At 39.3% G+C, this 20,474-nt stretch overlaps 1 protein-coding gene across 3 annotated transcripts in view, besides 2 other annotated features; it reads left to right on the top strand.

Moving 5' to 3' along the window:
• EFNA5 (ephrin A5) overlaps positions 1–20,474 on the top strand; it is a 294,044-nt gene that overhangs the window by 180,897 nt on the left and 92,673 nt on the right. The gene's annotated exons all lie outside the window — the stretch shown is intronic.
• Positions 15,156–15,305: an enhancer, noted in NCBI's record as "active region_22863". NCBI's record gives its function as "activates an Ori minimal core promoter by ATAC-STARR-seq in GM12878 lymphoblastoid cells {active_cell/tissue: GM12878}" and the evidence as "EXISTENCE:reporter gene assay evidence [ECO:0000049][PMID:35858748]".
• Positions 16,774–17,528: an enhancer, noted in NCBI's record as "OCT4-NANOG hESC enhancer chr5:106808214-106808968 (GRCh37/hg19 assembly coordinates)". NCBI's record gives its function as "activates a minimal SCP1, AML or CMV promoter by ChIP-STARR-seq in naive H9 embryonic stem cells {active_cell/tissue: H9 hESC(naive)}" and the evidence as "EXISTENCE:reporter gene assay evidence [ECO:0000049][PMID:30033119]".

Below are 20,474 nucleotides of genomic sequence, written 5' to 3'. Positions count from 1 at the left end.
CATGCCCCACTTGTACCCCAGCTGAGGGACCCTGGAGATCCACCCACCCTGGGTTTTATACCCTGAGTCATGAGATCTTCTGGGCTAAAGTGTTGAAGGACATCCTGTTCTGGGGACATTGGAACTAAGTCCAGCTGTTTCAGCCAGGTCCCCTCTTATCTCAGGATGTTGCATTCCTAGCACACTGGTACAGTTATTCTTGAGAGCTACAAGCAAGAAAGAGCATAACTGAGTCAGTGCAAGGCCACTCAGAGAACTTTCCTGTACATAGTCCTTGCTATGGATATGTTTTCTCATTTTGCCACAAATAAATGATATGAAAAACTGATAATGTTCAGTTGCAGGAATGAAACATTAGTGTTAGATCTTGGTGGGGGGGGTAGGTGGGGTCAAATCAATCACAAAATGCTTGGAAGCTTTAGGGTCCAGTGAAGGCACCTGAGGTTCCAGGTACCTTTTAGAATGTGAACTTAGGTTCACATTGGACTAAAACTTTTTTAGGTATGATTTTAACATTAACCCACAGAAAATTTTAATCTGTTAAGTTTGGTTTAAATTTTATCTGGTCCAGGACGGGCACGGTGGTTCATGCCTGTAATCCCAGCACTTTGGGAGGCCAGGGCAGGCAGATCACCTGAGGTCAGGATTTTGAGACCAGCCTGGTCTTGGTAAAACCCTGTCTCTACTAAAAATACAATAATTAGCCAGACATGGTGGCACGTGCCTGTAATCCCAGCTACTAGAGAGGCTGGGGCAGGAGAAATGCTTGAACCTGGAAGGCGGCGGTTGCAGTGAGCCAAGATTGCCCTACTGCATTCCAGCCTGGGTGACAGAGCAAGACTCCATCTAAATAAACAAACAAATTTTGTCTGGTCCAATACATGAGTTTGCAATAGATTAAATGAAATATTGTAATGATGGTAATAGTTAACTTATTGATAACCTATTATATATACCTTGAATTTTAAATCCATATTTTATTTTGGGAGGTATAACACTGAATCCCTCAGGTACAGGCTTTGGACAGTATCTTAAAAGAGGTTTTTTTGTGGCCGGGCGCAGTGGCTCATGCCTGTAATCCTAGCACTTTGGGAGGTGAAGGCAGGCGGATCGTGAGGTCAGGAGTTCAAGACCAGCCTGCCCAACAGGTGAAAACCCATCTCTACTAAAAAATACAAAAAATTAGCCAGGCGTCGTGGCACTCGCCTGTAATCCCAGCTACTTGGGAGGCTGAGGCGGGAGACTCGCTTCAACCCAGGAGGCAGAGGTTGCAGTGATTTGAGATCGTGCCATTGCACTGTAGCCTGGGCGACAGAGCAAGACGCTGTCTTGGAAAAAAAAAGAGTTTTTTTGTTTTTCGGTCTTAATGTTTCTTTTAAGGGCTCACTAGTTGTGTGTGTGTGTCTTCTTAAGAAGTGAGTCATAATAAAACCAGGTATAGCTTCTGAATGGAGTGCTCTTTTAAACTTGGGATTTGTAAAATAATTTGATGCTTGTAGGATTCCCTGCTGACAGCTGGAGTTTTAAAAAGGGTACTTCAACAAGAGGAAGCCCCTGCAAACCCTTTCTGATAGAGAATAACTAGAGATATCTGGGAAACCCAAAGCAGAAGAGTCTAGCACATCATTTCTTTACTTCACTCACCGTCTTTGACTTTGGGGATTAATGTGAAACAGACAATAATCTAAATAGACTTGAATAAACTTCAGAAACATTACTTTATACAATGTAAGAAATTTACAAAAATAAAACCAATGAGTGAGTGAATGAATCAATCAATCAATAAAAAAATTGAACTAAGCCGCAAGATGGGGGATAAGATAACATTTGTATACAGCGGTTAGTATTTCTAGCTGCTTTTAGCTCTAGTATATTTTCTTTTGTTATCTCCCACATGGGACTCATGTACTCCCTGAGAAAAGCAAATCTTCCTCTCAACATTTGTGTTTTAAATAGACCACCATTTTTCTGGGACCCCAGGCTCAAAACATTAATTGATATTAGAGACCCTAAAGGCTGCTGACTGGAATATTAGACCATCTTAGATTTCTATTTTCACATTTCCATAGGCAATACTCCCCTTTAAGTCCATTTCCCATGTAATGTTGGATATAATACAGTAGTCTGCTAGCTGGTCTATCCAGCCTCATCGCATAGGGAGTAATCTTTGTAAAATTAAATTCAGCAAATATTTGTTGGCACCTGTTATACAAACACTGTGCTTGTTGCTATAGGGGATACAAATATGATTAGGACACAAACCCTGTTTTCAAGGAGCTTTACAGTCCAAGGGGGAATAAGATTGGCATAAACATAGCTGACATTCAAGGCACAAGGTGCTACAGGGCTGAACAAAATTATCATTTTGCTGCTCATGAAGTTATCATGATTCCCTATTACCTTTTGGATCAAGTGAAAAATTCTCATTCTTTGTAATTTGACACCTGCTGGCTGCTTACATTTACATTTTACTTCTATCCAACAAACCTCTACTCTGCCCCTGTCATCTGCCTAATACTCTCATGGACACAGCCATGCAGATATTCCTTCTTTCCTTTATTCATTCATTATTTCTGCAAATACTAACTGCTTGTCAGATACTGTGCTAGATGCTCTGGGGGAAACAAAAGTGAATCACTCACTGCCTTGAGCAACTCACTATCCATTGGAAGGGGATTAAACAAAGTTTTTAAGGAACAGTGTTTTGTAACAGAATGCACAAAGTGCTGAGGGAGGAGAGAGGAGCTGAAGGCCTCACAGAGGAAGTGAATCCTGCCAGAAGTTGGTTAGGTGTTCACCCGGGGGGAAGAGGGAGTGGGGGCCATTACAGGCACAGCAGTGTGTCCCAGTTCATGGAGGCAGAGCAGAATGTGGCTCAATCAGAGTGCTGACGGCAGGAATACAGGATGGGAACTAGTGGGCAAAAATAACATTGGGAAACAGAGCCAGATACCATGGGCCTTGACCCTATGCTAAGGAAGTTGTTCTTTATCTTTTGTGCCAGGCGATTCCATTTGAAGTTCAAACAGAGATGTGAACAGATGTAGGTCTTAGAATGCTCTAGCAGCAATGTGGAGTATTTGAGAGATATTGGAGGCAGACAGGTCAGCCAAAGGGGGAAGGAAACTAAAGTATAAATACACTGAGGAGACCCTAAAATTCTTTTCATAGTAACTTTCTCTAGCTCCTCCCTGCCTTGGTATCTATATTTGTCAGGACAGAATATATTGTGCTGCAGTAACAAACAGCCCCAGGATCTCAGGGGTTTGACAGAGTTTATTAAGGCAGGTAACTATTATCTGTGTGTGACTCAATGATAGAGGCCTCTTCAGTCTTGTGGTTTTGTCATCTCAACACAAACCACCACATAAGAGAACACTGAAGAGTCTTGCTTCAGCCCAAAAGTGACTCATGTTCCTTCCGCCCACAACTCTGCCTAACTCTAAGGTAGTAGAGAGGTATAATACTCTCATACGCCCAGAAGGAGAAGAAAGTTAGATATGGGTGAACTCTATAAACTGATGTCTTTCTTTTATCTTTTATAGCCTCAGGATTTCCATAAGTTACCCGAACCACTCTCCACTATGTAGTTATGCATTTTTTTTTAGAATTATCATCATAAGTTCTTTCTTATGGGTGTGTCTTGTTTCTCTAGCTACCTGAACCTGATTAGGTTGTATCTTCCATATCTTTTAGCTTTTAAAGTTCCTTACCAGTCCTACTCCTGAAGGAGAAGCCGGTAGGCTAAATAAGTGCCTGTGAATATACATAGGGTTGAATTTGGCAGTGTGGCTTTTTTCTAGCAGGGCCTGGGTGCTCTTTCACACACACTCAGGAATCATCTGATTTGTTTTTTCCTTTGTTTGCTATTTCATGTCCATCAAATTATTGGAATTTTATTTGAGTTAAAATGAATCAATAAGGATTGGTCTCTGTTTTACTGTAACGCCTTTAATGTCATTTCACCTGCGAGACACTCATTTCTCGTCTCAGCCTAGTGAAAATTGCACATTTACCCTCAACATGACATTGTCTTGGCACGTTTTAAAGGTGAACCTGAAAGTTTAAGGGCATCTAAATATGCCGTGCTCGCTTCAGTATCCAGTTGGCGAGGTTCAATAGAAAACAAATCAATTGTCATCCCCTGTTGAAAATAAGCACACAAAGATCTAGCTTAAAAAAAACGAACATTGTAAAATGAATTCATACGCAGTAGAAGGTGAGGTCGAGACCCGTGGAGAACTTTATCTGAGACAGTGTTTGTTTACCTAGACCGAACATTTCATCCTTTCTTGGTCAATCTCTTTGACTTTTTCTTTCCTACTAAGCCTGACTTTTAAAATAAGTGAGAGTCAGTGAAGCAAACCCCAGTTCCGATTAGTTCCCCATAGCATAAAGACAGAATAAGTGAGTATCTCTAACTTTTGAACATAATCCATAGGAAGTAGGTATGGCAATAATTATTTCTGGTCCAGCACAGAAAGCTAACAGATCAATTCACTCTTTCTCAAGGACCAATTCTATCACAAACATTTTCTTCCCAGAGAAAAAAAGAGAGAGAGAGAGAGATTCATTCAGTAGTAATAGGACTTGCTGTTTATCTGTCATCCCCAAAACTTGAAACAGTTACACTAGCACACCTCAGGGGGTTACTTGCTGGCTTCCACTTCTGCCTGAGAATTTGCTACTGTGAAATGTGTGTATAGTCTTGCTTTCTTTTTTACATTGAATTTGCATTTTAATGTTTTTCATTCTTCATAGCTAAGAGGGAACTTTCTTTTTTCTAGTCATTTCTACCTTGGGACTGCTACAAGTTGAAGTCTGGCTAGAATTGGACCATCTAGTGCAGACAAAAGTTGAGATGCAGAAAAGGGATTTGAATAGAAGTGCAAGGAAAAAGAACAGGATTAGGAATTCAAACCCTCCTCTTAGATTTGTATTTCCTACCTTTTTTCTTTTTTTAAAAAAATCTGCTTTGTTTTTTCATTTTTCTCTGAAATTTCTTAATTTGTATTTCCTACCTTTTTTTCTTTTTCTTTTTAAAATCTGCTTTGTTTTTTCATTTTTCTCTGAAATTTCTTCATTTTTCTTTCATCTCTCCATCTTCCAATTTTCTACTTCTTGTTTTTTGTGGTACCTTTATTTTTAAGATGTGTTTCTTTTTCTATAAACATCTGAATTGGGTAATTACTGTACCTGCTTGCAAATATTCCTCAACTCAGAAATCTAAAAAAAAAAAATACAAAATCATAACTATCACAGTTAACAGCTCCTCATCTTCCCTGTGCTCTACCTAGGTACCCTGAGTGTTAGATACAGTATCTCACTTAATTCTTCACCACCATCCTATTTAATTAATTTGCCTGAAGTCCTACAGCTGGAAAGTGGCAGAGCTGAGTTTCCTAGTGGTCTTACTCCCAGTGCCAGTGCTCTTAGAGTAAAATCTTGGGCAATTATACAGTTTGTCTCATTGGCTCACATATCTTAAACTCAGAAGAATTCTCAAGAGACCATCTGGTACCACTCTGGCTCTGATTAGTTCCTCTAATTCCAGTGTGCCAACATGCAAAACGTCTGTTGCAATGGATCCATTTAAATCTTCCATGTTAGTTCTGAATCAGATCCTCAAAGTTATTTGGCAGCTGTGCAGTAAGAGAAATTTCTCCATTGTTACCGTTGCTGGAAACTGGCTGCTTCTTATGCTGACTCTATTAGTAGTGGGAACAGCGGCTTGGAGAACCAGGCGCCCTCTCTCACTGTGGGCACCTACTCCATAATTCTCAGAAGACTCGAAACCATTAACCTTGGGAGAGAGCAGAGAGGGCTCCTGAGCTTAGCTTGATATAGATGCTAAAGGTGTTCAGCAGTTGCAGAGTCGCAGCTGTGTTACCTGTTTTGCACTAATTAGGAGTTACCATGAATCTGTTTGACAATTAAGGACAGAGTGAACTTTAAGGCAGATGGGTACCATGGGACAGTACACAGTTCTCAGGCAAGCAAAATGAAAGTTTGCACCAAGTCCTGTGTTTTTCCAAGACTGTAAAATTCTTTAATAATGTGGATTCCAGTGTATAAATAAAAGTCTGAGGTAGGTTTCTGCCACCTGAAAAGTGTCTCTCTCAGGGAGTAACTCTGCTCCAAATCCTTAGCAGTGCAAGTAGTTATTTGTGTGCAGCATCACCCACCAGATGAATAATAATTACTTCAACACTAGCCTTACCCAGTTCTTGGATTTCAGTTTGACTCTACCCAAAATGTATCTCATAGCATTCCAGCAGCTTAGCAACTAAATATTTATCTAGAATCAGAAAGCACAAAAAGTTCAATTTCTCTTAAAAGTCATACTTGTGAGCAGTATTTTAAGATAAAACTTTTGTAAGTTAAGTATCTTGTTCTTCTTTGCTCCCCTGACCACCCAACTAATTTGTACACATATGTATCTATTTCCCATCCCCTGGCTTTAGGTCAGGAGTTCTCTTAAATCATGTTCTTTTAGTAGGCTATAAAAATACTGGAGGGGAGATTTATCCAGGCTCTATTCTTTGAGGACCTGATGCTGAGTTTCAGGCAAGAGTGCCTTGTCACCGTCTAGAATCCGAGACGGATACAGCAGCTGGAGTGTGACTTATAGCTAGGATTCGGGAAGATGTGCAGAGTTCAGGGAAAACCTGCATGCCATGTGGTGTCGTTGAAAACTGTAAATATAATTAAGCCAGGTGGATTCCATGACAACAAAGAGGATTAGGGCCTGGGTGGATCTGGTAGACCATTGAGACCTATGTGAATAGATGTCAATTTATTTATATCCCCTCTCCCCAGGGGAAAAAAACAACAACAACATAGTTTGATGTCTAAATGAAGTAATCTCTGGAAAGAAAAGGGAGATTATATTTGTTAAACTGTATAAAAAAATCAGAAGATAATATGGCTTTGTTCACACTATTACATAAAGAAGATTAAAGACGAGGAACAAGCTGCTTAAACACTGTAAACTAATTAGTTCTACGAATTGTTTTCCCGAGGTTCATGAGATATGAAACATTGGCACCAGTGCGTGAAATACACTCTGCCTCAGTGCTCTTTTCAATTTATTTTTCTGTTAGTGTCATATGTATGTGTGTGTGTGTGTATGTGTATATATGTATGTATATATATATATATATATATATAGAGAGAGAGAGAGAGAGAGAGAGAGAGAGAGAGAGAGACAGAGACAGAGAGAGAGACAGAGAGAGAGAGAGAGAGCAGCCAAAAAGAAAGAGGTTACAGAGGGAGACCAAAGCCTGTGGGATGATTGAGGCTGACATTTTGTCACTTTAAGCCTGGTGCAGGGAGGGTCCTTCTCTAATACCCTGTATAAATACCAGCTTAATTTTCTGCCATCACAGGCTACATTGCGCAAATGATATCACGACAAGGCCCAGAGGAATTCCTGATGCTGCTCAGAGCACTCTGGCAACTCCCAGTGCAGCTAGGTCCAATCCAGCAGATGCGCCCTTAATTTGTTTCCCAAGATCTGGGTCTTATCTGAGAATAGGTGAGAAGGACTTGGAGCAAGAGTGGGGCCATGTGTCTGACAGACTTCTCATTCTCTAGTTTAAACAAGAACTATTTCCTTGTCTTAAAACAGACTATTTTCTAGATGGAGGACCAAGAAATCAGGTTTTTAGTCTTAAATAACAGATAAGTATATTTGCCTAATTTAAACAAAAATAGCATTTTTTTTTTTTTTGAGACAAGATCAACTCATTTTGTCACCCAGGCTGGAGTACAGTGGCACGACCTCGGCTCACTGCAACCTCTGTCTCCCAGGCTTAAGTGATTTTCCCACCTCAACCTCTCCAATAACTGGGACCACAGGCGCATGCTACCACACCTGGCTAATTTTTTGTATTTTTAGTAAGGGTTTCCCTATGTTGCCCAGGCTGGTCTTAAACTCCTGACCTCAAGTGATCCACCTGCCTCAGCATCCCAAAGTGCTGGGATTATAGGCATGAGCCACTACGCCCAGCCAGCATTTATTTTTATGTAGCACATTTTATCTTGTTCAGAAATATGTCTAACTTAGAAGTGTATGATTACACAAGACAGTGTTTGTTTTCTAATGTTTAAAGCTGTATTGTAATGAGACCTTATTGTAACCCTGACTCTCTATCATCCCTTTTCCATTTCTTTTCTTTTTTTTTTTTTTGAGATGGAGTCTCGCTCTACCACCCAGGCTGCAGTGCAATGGGGTGATCTCAGCTCACTGCAACCTCTGCCTCCCGGGTTCAAGTGATTCTCCTACTTCAGCATCCTGAGTAGCAGGGATTACAGGTGTGTGCCACCACACCCAACTAATTTGTGTTATCTTTAGCAGAGACACGGTTTCACCATGTTGGCCAGGCTGGTCTCTAACTCTGACCTTGTGATCCACCCACCTTGGCCTCCGAAAGTGCTGGGATTACAGGCATGAGCCACCATACCTGGCATTCTTTTCAGTTTCTTTTCCTGCATTTATTGTTCAAAAACAGAGGACATCCTCACTGCCAACCATCAGCATTCCCAGATCTCCTGGTCAGAATGAATCACTACTTTCTCTGTATTCTCAGAGAACTATGTATCAAAATACCATCCTTTATTTCATTTTAATAACAAACTTCTCAAAGGCACACTTGCTGTGATCTCCTCCTGCTGGATCCTGGCCCAGTGCGATGGAGAAGGCCATCTCAACAGTCACAGAAATGTCAAATCGGTTAAGTTCAGTTCTCATCCAGCCAGATTGTTTCCCCAACTCACTCCTGTATTCAGTGTTGTAGCCTCTCTTCTCTCTTCTTGAAACTCTCCTGAATACAGGAGAACCGAGGGTTTTTCTCATTTGCAGTTGACACTTCTCAGTCTGTATTTCTGGCTTTTGCCTGTCAGCAGGAGAGTCTAACTTTACCCTGTTGCTTGCTGCACACCTCTTAGTTTGTTTTGTTCACTCTTGTACCTCTGGATCCTAGAACAGTGCCTGCTATGTAATAGGAGCTCAGTAAATTTATGCTGAATGTCCCCTGCCAGCTCCTCAGGCTCCACAAGTCAGTGACCACATCTATTTCTCTTGTCTACCTAACATACTTCTTATTTATTCTGTCATATAAAGCTGTCTCTTTGTTCAGACCTGTTATTTCCAAGTTCTCCTTCTGCTCATTTCTAGGCAGTCACCCACCCTTTGAGACCTGTTTGTCCCCATTGCTCGTTCCTTCCACTTGCCTTCACTCCCAGTACAAGGCCTTTGGACAAGCCCTCATTTTGTCTTTCTGGGACCGCTGACTGCAAGAGTCTTGTATCTGTTTTCCCTGGCTTCTGTGTATCCCCAGCCCTGCTCATGGAGAGCTCTGTGAAGCAGTCTTTAAGGCTTTATTTGCTTTTTATACACTTAAGAAAGGAAGCCAGGTATTCACGTAATTGGTGTATTGGATACCTCCCCTCTCCACTAGAATGCTCCTGAGGACAGTGCCTGTGTCTTTAGTCTTGATCCATATAGTGCCTAGGCCAGCGCTTTACGTATAGCCTGGCGCATTAACATTTTTAGGAACTTGAACTCTACCCTTTTTTACACTCTACCAGATATTATAGTTGATGCTATTTCTTGTGCCAGTTAATAAACAATTTCTTAGAAGCAGAGAGCATCTTTGATACATCTTTGTACCCCTTCACAGGGCAAGAAGTTGTAGGTAGATACAAAATACAGTTGAATTTAATTTTAAATAAAAGTAATGACTATTGAGTGGATAAAAGTGTATACTGTTTTAGCAATACATTGATTTATGGAAAAATTGAATGTGAGTATTAGTATATATTTCATTAAGCATTCATATTAAAATAGTAATCTGTTGGCTTTTCCCATTTTAACTAGAGCTTTGTGAATATGAAGCATATTGGTGGGGCACTTGGGACATGGAAATATGTATTATTCTTATTTTCTCATGACTTGTTTTTACTTATATAAGCAGGTACTTAGAGGTTTTAGACATCACATTGTAGAATTAAATCAGTATGATTTCAATTGAGTTTTGGTATTTAATCTTTCTTTTTGAAAAAGGGTAATTTCGGAGAGTACGAGTATTGTACTCAGAATCTTCTTTCCTTTTTTAGTTTTTTAAAATATACTGGTGTGCATTTTTTCCATTACTTTAAGATAGTGTAGCAAATTAAGACCATGAGCTCTGGAGCCAGAGTCTGAGACTCAGTTTGTCAGTGTGATGGGACCAGTAATGATTCTTTTTCATCAGGATGTTGTGAAGACTTGAGATAATACCTGGAAAGCTCTTAGCAAAATGCCTGTCACACACTCATTCAACCCCTGGTTAGGTAATATATTATTCTTTTGTTTTAATTGGAATTTGCATAGGGAGGGAGTTGTGTATTCAGTGGGGAAAAACCTCTGAATGAAAGTCTCATGGACTTTCTGGTGCCTTCTTGTTCATGAACACCAGTGGCAATGAGTGGCTCCCTAGAAAACTTCCATGTCTCGAGTAACCTCAAAACCCACAGCGACAGTAAATCACTTGTTGGCCTGAATAAGGATAGCTATAATTTAGGTTGTTTTTTTTTTTTAAATGTGTTTTCATTTATTGAGGTCAGTGCATTTGTGTCAAACAATTGAAACCTGACAAGAAAAATCAAGGGTAGCCTGGGCACTGCTCAATTATTACTCTGATCAGATTTTAATTAGCACCATATGTAAAAGGAAGTGCTATTTTTATTATCCATTACCATGCACTTGCTTACATATTTACCCCTGGGGTTAGAAGTGTTTCATTAATTATTTTTGTTGGCAACTAAGACAGTATTTTGACTTCTGAATTGAAAATTGCCAACTTGTTTAAACACGAATACCCATCATAAGAAATGAACAGTGCTGCTTACCAAGTGTGAACAAATCTCTACAAACTAAAGTAATTTATGGTTAAGATAAGGTCATTAGCCTTAATTTTTATTCATAATGTCATTCCAGACTCTGTCATTTACAGATTATTTTTTAATCTAAATTAAAATTACTTTCTTAAATTGAGCCCTTTCAATCAGTATGAATGGTTAACATGTCTTTGCATCTCTTTTGGTATAGTATACTTTCCTGATCAACAGGTTAGCAGTGCTTAATTGTATGTTTTTGGAGCAGGCTTAGAGAAGTATAAAAACTTCCATAAATAAAACGAAAAGTTTCATTTTAGTAAGCAGACTAATGAAATATGAACCTATCTAATGACAATGGTAAATAGAAGCATGAAAATAATCATTTTACAAAAATAATTAGATACTACAGGATTTCTATTGGTTCCAGAAGTAAACTCAGGTGACCTTGTCCTATTTATTAAGACCAATGAGCTCCACTTGGTACGTTTCTTCCTTTGCCCCTGCTACTTCTCCGTACTTTTTACATGCTGTCTAGAAGTTTTCAACTTTCATGCTGTATATTTTTTCCTGTCTGACTTTTATGACTTCCCCCATAAAATGTATTCGTTGTCTGAGTCTCACAAATCCTAAACTACTTAATGGCTATGGCTGCATCCATTATGCTGCACTGTGTGTTTGCGTGTGTGCTCTCCCGACATCTGTGTAGATATCTTCTGAAATTTACAAAACCTTTGTAACTAATCCCATAGGTTAACCGGAGTAGGGGCAGTATTTGTTGTTGCTAATTACACAGTGGAAGCCTTTGGGAAATAGGCCCTTTGTTAATGATAAATTTGAGCAAGCAACTAAACATTCCTGAATAATGCTGAGAATATTACTCGCCTAGGTCTTTATGACTATGGATCTCTTGCCTGCCTCCTCTTTCTCCGTAGAAGTCTGGCCACTGTGCCTGATATGCATATTAATTGCTGGATCAGGAGGAGAAGCAGGGAGCTTCCTTTGGCAACAGGGTGTAACACAAACAGCTGAGTAATGAGGTACATGTGGATTATTAGGTATGACATAATGAGTAGCATTTCTATCATGGCATTATATATCTGTCAGGGTTTTTGGTCAGGCTTTTTCCTTCCTAGGGTTTAAAAACCCTGCTCATGTATTTCGGTGGTTATCACTAAAAATGGCCAGAAATCCCACTGCTACCAATCAGTTATGCTACCTCTAAATATCAGCCTCTGATTGATAGCTTGTTAAAGTGAGTTTCAAAACCAAGGGGAACTCTCTTTAGAGGAGGTATGTATTTGATTTAGGGTATATTGATTTGCATAATTTAGCAAATAAAGTACTATATAGTTAAAGGTCTGGAGACATTTACTTTTACCTAACTTAAAAAAAATAATATATTGTGGCCTAGATTAGTCACATAAGAGCCACCCTGTAAAAAGGAAACAGTGCAGGTAGAAGTTAGTCAAGAGAACACAATAGCCACACCTTGAGAAACCTTTCACCTGTGGCTTAGTTATTACTATCAGGTTACCCAAAAGAAAGAAGGGTTATATAGAGAAATAAAAAAGATTTATAACATGTATCCCCAAAAGACACCTGAAAAATAAGAGAATAGGATAAATGTAATTGCCAGAGATCCTTTTACAGTTATAAATTAATGTAGACAATTTTCTAGAGCAGTAATACCTCATGTAAGAAAGCCCTTTGCCAATATGTATTTTCTGCTTGTTTTAAATCACATATGCGACTTTGGTTCTAGATTTGTACCTTTAAACAGTCCAGAAAGATAAGAGTTTCTGCAGATATTATTCTATTGATTGCTTAATTCAAAAGATTATAAATTACTTCATCTGTTTTAGTGGAAGAGAAAGTCTTACATAGGTACATAAATATCTATATGTTAATATTATGATTAGTATCTCTTATCTACACATTGACCTATTCCTTATGTTTCTCCGTAGCTTCTTACCAAGACATTTTTTTTCTCTCTTGATAAGCCAGTAACCTCCCTTTTGAAACTGTGTGATGTTTCTCTTTTTGTTTTGGTTACTAGGAGGCTCAGCTGGCTTTCGTGTTGAGTTGCCACACAGCCTTTCCTGTTCATTGTCACAGACCCAGCAGCACCTAGCACATAGTGATACAAATGCTCAGCAAATAGACACTAAATCAGCAAATGTGTGACTTGAAATAGTTTTTCATTATGACTGATTTCCTGTCCACTTTATGTCTGGCTTTTTTGTTTTTAAGCTATATAAGGTGTAATGATTTCATTCTGTCTGATTCTGATTTGTGAACCACATCAAATCATTTCATCAAGGAGTCAGGGTATAGTATAACCTGAAAGGAATATGCCTCTGTTTTATACACTGTGACAACACAGTTTGGATGTTCCTGTGAGAGAGAGAGAGAGAGAGAGAGAGAAAGAGAAAAAATAAACATTTTAAGGGCAGCTAAATGGACTAAGAATAAAGCATTTCTGTAGGGACTTCAAATCAGAGAGTCCTGATACATAAAATTACAGGTATTGGACTTCATAGAAAGCTAATGAAATGTTTCTCCCCAAATTCTGTCAGATATCCCTATTGAACTGGTCATTTTCATTTGTTTTATATTTAATGAAACCAGAGGGAGAAACAGCAGGAATAGAAGGGTCTGTTTTGAAACTCTAAACAAGCCACCTGATGATTTTGTTTATCACTTGAACAGCTCTGGGTTCTTGTTTTGAAAATACAGATGTGTAAAGGTTTACATAGTTCCATTCTAAGTATAATATACTCTATTTTGCTCTCAAGAATATAGTTCTTGACTGGGCACAGTGGCTCACTCCTGTAATCCCAGCACTTTGGGAGGCTGAGGTGGGTGGATCACCTGAGGTCAGGAGTTCAAGACCAGCCTGGCCAACATTGTGAAACCGAATCTCTACTAAAAACACAAAAAATTAGCTGGGCGTGGTGGCAGGTGCCTGTAACCCCAGCTACTCGGGAGGCTGAGGCAGGAGAATTGCTTGAACTTGGGAGGCGGAGGTTGCAGTGAGCCGAGATCGCGCCATTACACTCCAGCCTGAGCAACAAGAGCAAGACTCTGTCTCAAAAAAAAAAAATATATATATAGTTTAAAAACTCTCAAGCCACCTTGGTATCTTCCATCTCATGTTTTATAGATGTTCAAACTGTACCATTTCAAACAGGTGCCGTGCTGTGAAAAACATGAACACAGTTTGAAATTCACTCTTGTAAAATATTTTGATATTAGCATTTTTAAAGGATCTGGGAAGTGTTGATATTCATTAACAACATCTCATTGCTCCAGAAACAGTTCAGCCTGGGTATTTTGAGGCTGAAGTCATGTCATCTCAGGTAGAACAACACAAAGGGCTTGCACTTTGGGGTAGTTCTCGTGAGAAATATGTAATCAGATTGTGGATACCCTAGACAAATCTTCTGTCTTAAGATGTATAAGTCTTATGCAGGGTAAGAATGTTGCTGACATAGTCCTTGAACAGCCTTCAAAATTATACTGGCTTTTCAGGCTCTGTTCCCCTTTAGCAATGCAGCAGATTGAAATAACTTCTGAAGCACTTTGAAAATATTGTGCTACTGAAAGCCTTAGAATCTCTTGACATTTTTCTCCCAGGATCCTCACCAGATCCTTTGACGTGGACAGTGGTGGCATTTTGTTTCTCTTGAGTTTCTTGAAAAGTTCATATAAACCACCATTCTCTCCCAAAACCTTTTGCAGTTTTCTGTGCTACATTTTCATAGGACATTACTGAACACTACAAACCATCTGCCGTTTCACACTTTGCTAGCTGAGGTCAGTGATACTGATAGCTGGGTAAGTGTGAAGTATGTGAAATGATTAGCCATCTCACAAGGGTGGGGTTGCACCAGTACCTGTTTGAAAAGCTCTTGTATGTTAATCCACAAAGACAAATTAATTATTAACATTTAATATCGTATAACTTACAGGGAGAAAAAAGGATTGTTTATTCACTGTGCTACTGTGACACCTTTGTTCAACAGGGAGCGTGTTACAAATGCCACAAGTAGTAACTTGAGGATACATCCTTTAACAGCTTATTAGTAGTCATTTCCCAGTCAAGTAAACATCTTAGCTCAGAAGTTTGTTTAGTAAAGCACAGTCATATTGTGGAAGCAGGAAGTAACCTCACATTGCACAAACACTGTCTTAACAGTGGGACAGAAACTTTTCTAATGACAATGATTTTTATGTAAATTGTATAGGCCTTGAATGGTAGGAACCTAGACAGTTATGAGTCAACATAATTGTCCTTTCCCTTAGAATGGCCCTTAATTAGTCATTCATTTATGTTGTCTTAGATCTTCGGGGCTTCTTCTTGCCTCTGGCAGGTCAGCCAGCATCATTCTGGAACATGGTGGCCTCTTGCTAAAAATATTTAACAAGATTGAGGTGGTGTTTCCTGTGTTAGCCAATATTTGATACCAACAGGCCTGACATATTTTAACAAAGTTAGTGGCCTAAAGATACGCCCTTCAACAGGATAAAGCCATCCCAGGATGCTATAGGTGGGTGAATTGCAATTAAACCATTCCTCGTTCGTAATGCAAAGATGCATGGTTGCATGACAGCACCTCCCTGTATTGTATTAGTCATGCCTGGAGGAAAACTCAACAAGGGTTTCTGATCCTCTGGGAAATTTTTACATACTAGATTTGAACTCAGACTGTTTGAAATCCTTGAAAACTCCATTGTGGCTGTTCAGTGCTGATGACCATTTCTTAAAATGGAAAACAATCTGTAAAATATTATTGATTACTTGGTATACTGAAAAGTGACAAAGGCGTGGGTGCTTTGGCAAGGGATGCAAACTTTCATGGCTAATGCAGCCGGCAGGTACCTAAGTGAGAAAATCAGACCTGGTGTACAAACTGGGTGTCATCCACTCCAGCAGAATATTTCTGTGTAAGAAGAATGTGGAGCCAGTGGCATCTGATCATCCAAGTTTTCAAGAGAAGGTAGAAACATGTACTTTATTTGAAATCTCTGGGTTTCTAAATATTGGTTCAGATGACTCTGAAACATTGTACTGGCTAAACTCAAGTGTACAGGGCCGAAATTGATTCACAGGCCATCAGTTTACAATCTGTCTTTTATGGAGATCTGTGTCAAAAGCATGATAGTCATGTATTTGCTATGTGGATGTTAAAGTCAAATGAGGCCAGGCATGGTGGCTCATGCCTGTAATCCCAGCACTTTGGGAGGCCGAGAAAGGCGGATCACGAGGTCAGGAGATCAAGACCATCCTTGATAACATGGTGGAACCCCATCTCTACTAAAAATGCAAAAATTCGCTGGGCGTGGTGGCACATGCCTGTAATCCCAGCTATTCAGAAGGCTGAGGCAGGAGAATCACTTGAACCCGGGAGGCAGAGGTTGCAGTGAGCCGAGATCACACCATTTGCACTCCAGCTTGGGCAACAAGAGCGAAACTCTGTCTCAAAAAAAAAAAAAAAAATTCAAGTGAAAATCCGATTGTTAATGAATTAGAATATCGGATCATAACACGTTCTAGAGCTGGAAGAATGTGTCATGGTTTGGCATCTGTTCCACACCAAATTGTAGAGTGTTAGGCTACCTGTATTTTCAGATTCCTTCTGCTTTGAGAATTAAATCTGTTGTAGTCACATTCTGACTTTGGGCATAGTTCTATTTGCCTCCCCAGTGAGCAGACACCTGGCTCTTCTTGGTGTGTATATGAAAAGTAGAATAAGTGGAATTCATTAGAAGCTGGCTGCTATCATGTTTAGGGAATTCAAGAATGATATCAACAAGGAGAATGAATAAAAGAAATATTTAAAGACCCAAACTCCACTAAGATGAGTAGACTCAGACTGAAAAAAAAAAAAAAAAAATCAGACCTGGAAGCAATGGGGAATGATGTGGCTTTTTAGAGTCAAGATTTGGGTCGAATAGAGTGTAAGTTTCAGAGGCAAAGTTTCAACCAATGTCAGCAGTACAAAGGCTACAACTTCCAACATCAGATCTCCATCAGTAACAACATCTTGGAAGAGGGCAGAGTTGTTTGCAGAAAAACGGTGGCTGGGGTCCCTGGAATGAGTGAGAGCAACCCCAGGAGGTAAGGTATAGGTGAATGAAGAGTTCAAGCAGGTGCTGGGGGGAGGGAGACTGGGGGCTCCATTTACAGTGTTGAGATGCCTGCAGGGGCTAAGAATATCAAAGGTTTGTTCAAATATCCTTCAGCCTTTTCATCAGCTCGACATTTGCATCCCTTGGTCCTACCAGCTTTATTTCAACAGTGAGTACACTCAGATGACTGAGCCAGCTCACGTTACTGATCTCTATCTGTTTGTCATTCTAGCTCTCTTACCTCCCACATGAGTTGTACCTTTTTGGTGCAAATAAGCTGCCAGAGCTGGCTTGGCTTGATCTCTGTGCTGCAGATGTCTCTAATTAACTTGATTGAGACAGGTCCATGGGATCCTGTTGCACAGTCTGACAAGTCCCACTGTCCTGGGAGGCACTATCCCATCACCTGAAGCATGCCTTTTGCTAATGTCCTTTGGGCAAAGTTTATTAATGACTAAAGTCTTCAAGTACCCATAGTTTTAATATGAAAGCTGTGGAGTGATGGTTGCTAATTTGCAGCCAGGAGTGTAAGAATTATCTCAAGTTCTCATTTAAATTCTGAGTAGAAATCTCCAGAGACCTTTACTAACAACTTCTAGTGTTTTTAACATCCAAAGTGTTACAATTTTTATCATCACTAATACTATTAACATTATTATTTGCAGTAGCTGAGAGAAACACGGTCTTGAGTCACTGCAAGTATAGACGCTTACGATAAAAATATTTGATGACGCCATCGTAACCTAGTGACAAAACATGTAATAAAACAAGTGTTTGGAAGTACTGGTTTGACTAGTTGTGAGATCTGCTAGATGTCTAATTACTGTAGGTTAAATTAGCCCCCAAGCATTGTAGAGAATGGATTTGTCTTTATTTCCTTTAATATCCACATTTACTCTTGTTTTTCTGGAATAATAAATTATTCAATCAAACTTTATATTTTGTGTGTATGGCTTTGTGCATGTGTTTTCTGTGAATATCTATAGCTTTTCAGAACTTGTGTATATCACTGCAGACTTAAGGCTATTTGCACTCTTTGAAACAATATAGCAGTTATTTCTAAAACGTATGGACATGGATATAACTTATTAAATGTTAAAAGAAACAATAGATAAATCTTCAACTACATGTAAGAACTACTACATATGTAATATCACTGTCTTTATTATCCCCTATAGCTACAACACCAAGCTATGAAGGAGAATACTGTATTCTTTGATGTTTAAATTCTTTTTTCATTAGTTACCATTCACATGTGGATGGATCACCAAATACATCTTTTCAGCTGTTGTAAATAATCACAATCCATGGTCCAGCCATCACTAAGCAACATGGCCTTGCCCTACCCATAATTTACAAGTGGATTCACCTATTAGTAGAAGTAGTTCATTATCGGTTATCCAGGCTACATTATTCAGTTGGAGGATTAATGTTTCTATCATCAACTGACTAGCATGAATTTGTAGACCATGTGCCCCAAAATGAAGGATAAAGACAAGATAGTGACATGATCCTTATCAATGCCAAGGAATATAAAATGTTACTGGGACCATGTCTCAGATTTAGAAAAAATAATCTCTGTAACTGCACACATTAAGTGTAATAATATCCTCAGTCCTGTGCAGTCTCAGAAAGGGAAGAGATCTTGGTGGGCTATGAAGGTAATGAAAGCTTAACAGAACTTAACCACTGAAGAAAGCCCAGTGGAGGAGTGAGGGAATTGGAGGCAAAAAGGGGGAATCAACAGAGGCCTGAAGGTAGGAGTTTGCACAGCAGGTGAGAAGACCAGGTTACAGAAGAGTCCTGGGAATTGAGGCTGGATAGGTTCCATGCTACCAAAATATGGGGAGTGCGAAGGACCAAGCACAAATTAGAATTGATTTTACAGAATAGGGAGTCACTGGGGTTCCTAACCTGGGAAAGCCTGATGAATTGGGAGGCGATAAGGAGACAAGTGAGACCAGCTAGAAGGTAATTATACTAATTGCATGAGTGACAATAGTATTGCATGAGCCTGCGGTATTAAAATGGGTTCTGAGAGATCTGAGAAGGATATCAAGAAAGAAATCATCAGAACTTAGTAGATGGGTTTTTCTTGAAGAAAAGAGATAAAAAAGACATCTTACTCCTGATTTCGTGTATTTTTATTTTTAATTTTTTTTAGAGATAAGGTCTTGCTATTTTGCCTAGGCTGGTCTCGAACTCCTGGGCTCAAGTGATTCTCCTGCCTCCGCCTTGTCCTGATTTCATTTCATCATTCTTGTGGACATGTCCACCACAAAGTACAGAATAGAGAAGTGAAATTTCAAAAAGTTTAGTTTATCCATTATCAGCAATGTTAATCTTTAAAATATTAAAGGGGAGAAGAATTTATGAATTGTTGAAGGAGTGCCGAAATTGAGAATTGATATAGAATTTAGAGGCACATTTTAAAATTCCCATCTATGCATCATTAGGAGAAAACTTCAGCAACTGACTGATTCTATCAGCTTCTCTGTTTAGTCCTCCAATTTTAATCAAATAAGACTGACACAGACATTAATGGTTTCACTGCTATTATACCATTCTCTCTGGTCAAGTCTCAATGCTGCCATGCATATGATAATTGGAGATTAGTCATTTCCTTGGATATACTTCATCATCCTCAGAAGCCGTATAATAACAATTGGGTGTCATTTGCTTTGGGTCCAGCTTGGAGGCTTAAAATAGCATCTCTGGCTATTCAGATAAGCCCTATCAGGATCTGAGTGCTGTATGGTAGCCCCAGAAGCAGCAAGTTAGTGTTCCCAGGACCCTCACTGTTGCCATTTTTTGGGACTAAAAGCAGATGGCAAGAGAATGCCAGATTTGGCACTTACAGGGTTATTACAGCAAAGGAGCGGCTCTCCAGCTGTAGGTGTGTATGTGAGTTTCAGAGCCCCTCCTAATGAATTTTAGACTGAGAATCTCATTCTCCTGGAACTATCTATCACTTGAGAATCAGAGTAATTATTTCCTATTGCCCTTTGTGGAATACAGTTATAATTGCATTACTGTTAACGGTGTTCGCATTAACACTTAATTGTTAATGTCCTCCTAATTTGGAGGAAATCATCACCTCTTCATATTTCATTGCTAGAAAGAGTTGTTAAAGAGAATAATTTGAAGCTTCCAAATGGAGAAACAAGAAATGATGCTAGAATTCAGAGGTGGAATTTGTGGGATGACTTCTCTTTCTGGTATTTGTGTGTGCATGTTTGTTTTCTTTTAAGGTATTATACGTCTACTTCCTTTTGAGATTAAGCCACAATGCACAGTCATTCACTGGAAAGTAACAGGGATTCTTGTGATGTGGAAACAGCTCTTGGGTGCGTGGTAAAAAAAAAAAATAAAGGGGGGGCAGTAACTTCTCTCATAGTTGACATCCTGTTTGAGTGTTGAAAGACACATTAACAAGAAAAGAAAGACACCACTGTGGCAAG

Source organism: Homo sapiens, chromosome 5 (genome assembly GCF_000001405.40).
Source record: "Homo sapiens chromosome 5, GRCh38.p14 Primary Assembly".
In the NCBI taxonomy this organism is placed as follows: Eukaryota; Metazoa; Chordata; class Mammalia; order Primates; family Hominidae; genus Homo; species Homo sapiens.
The sequence above is the reverse complement of the archived record's forward strand: the minus strand, read 5'-3'. Positions and strand labels throughout refer to the sequence as shown.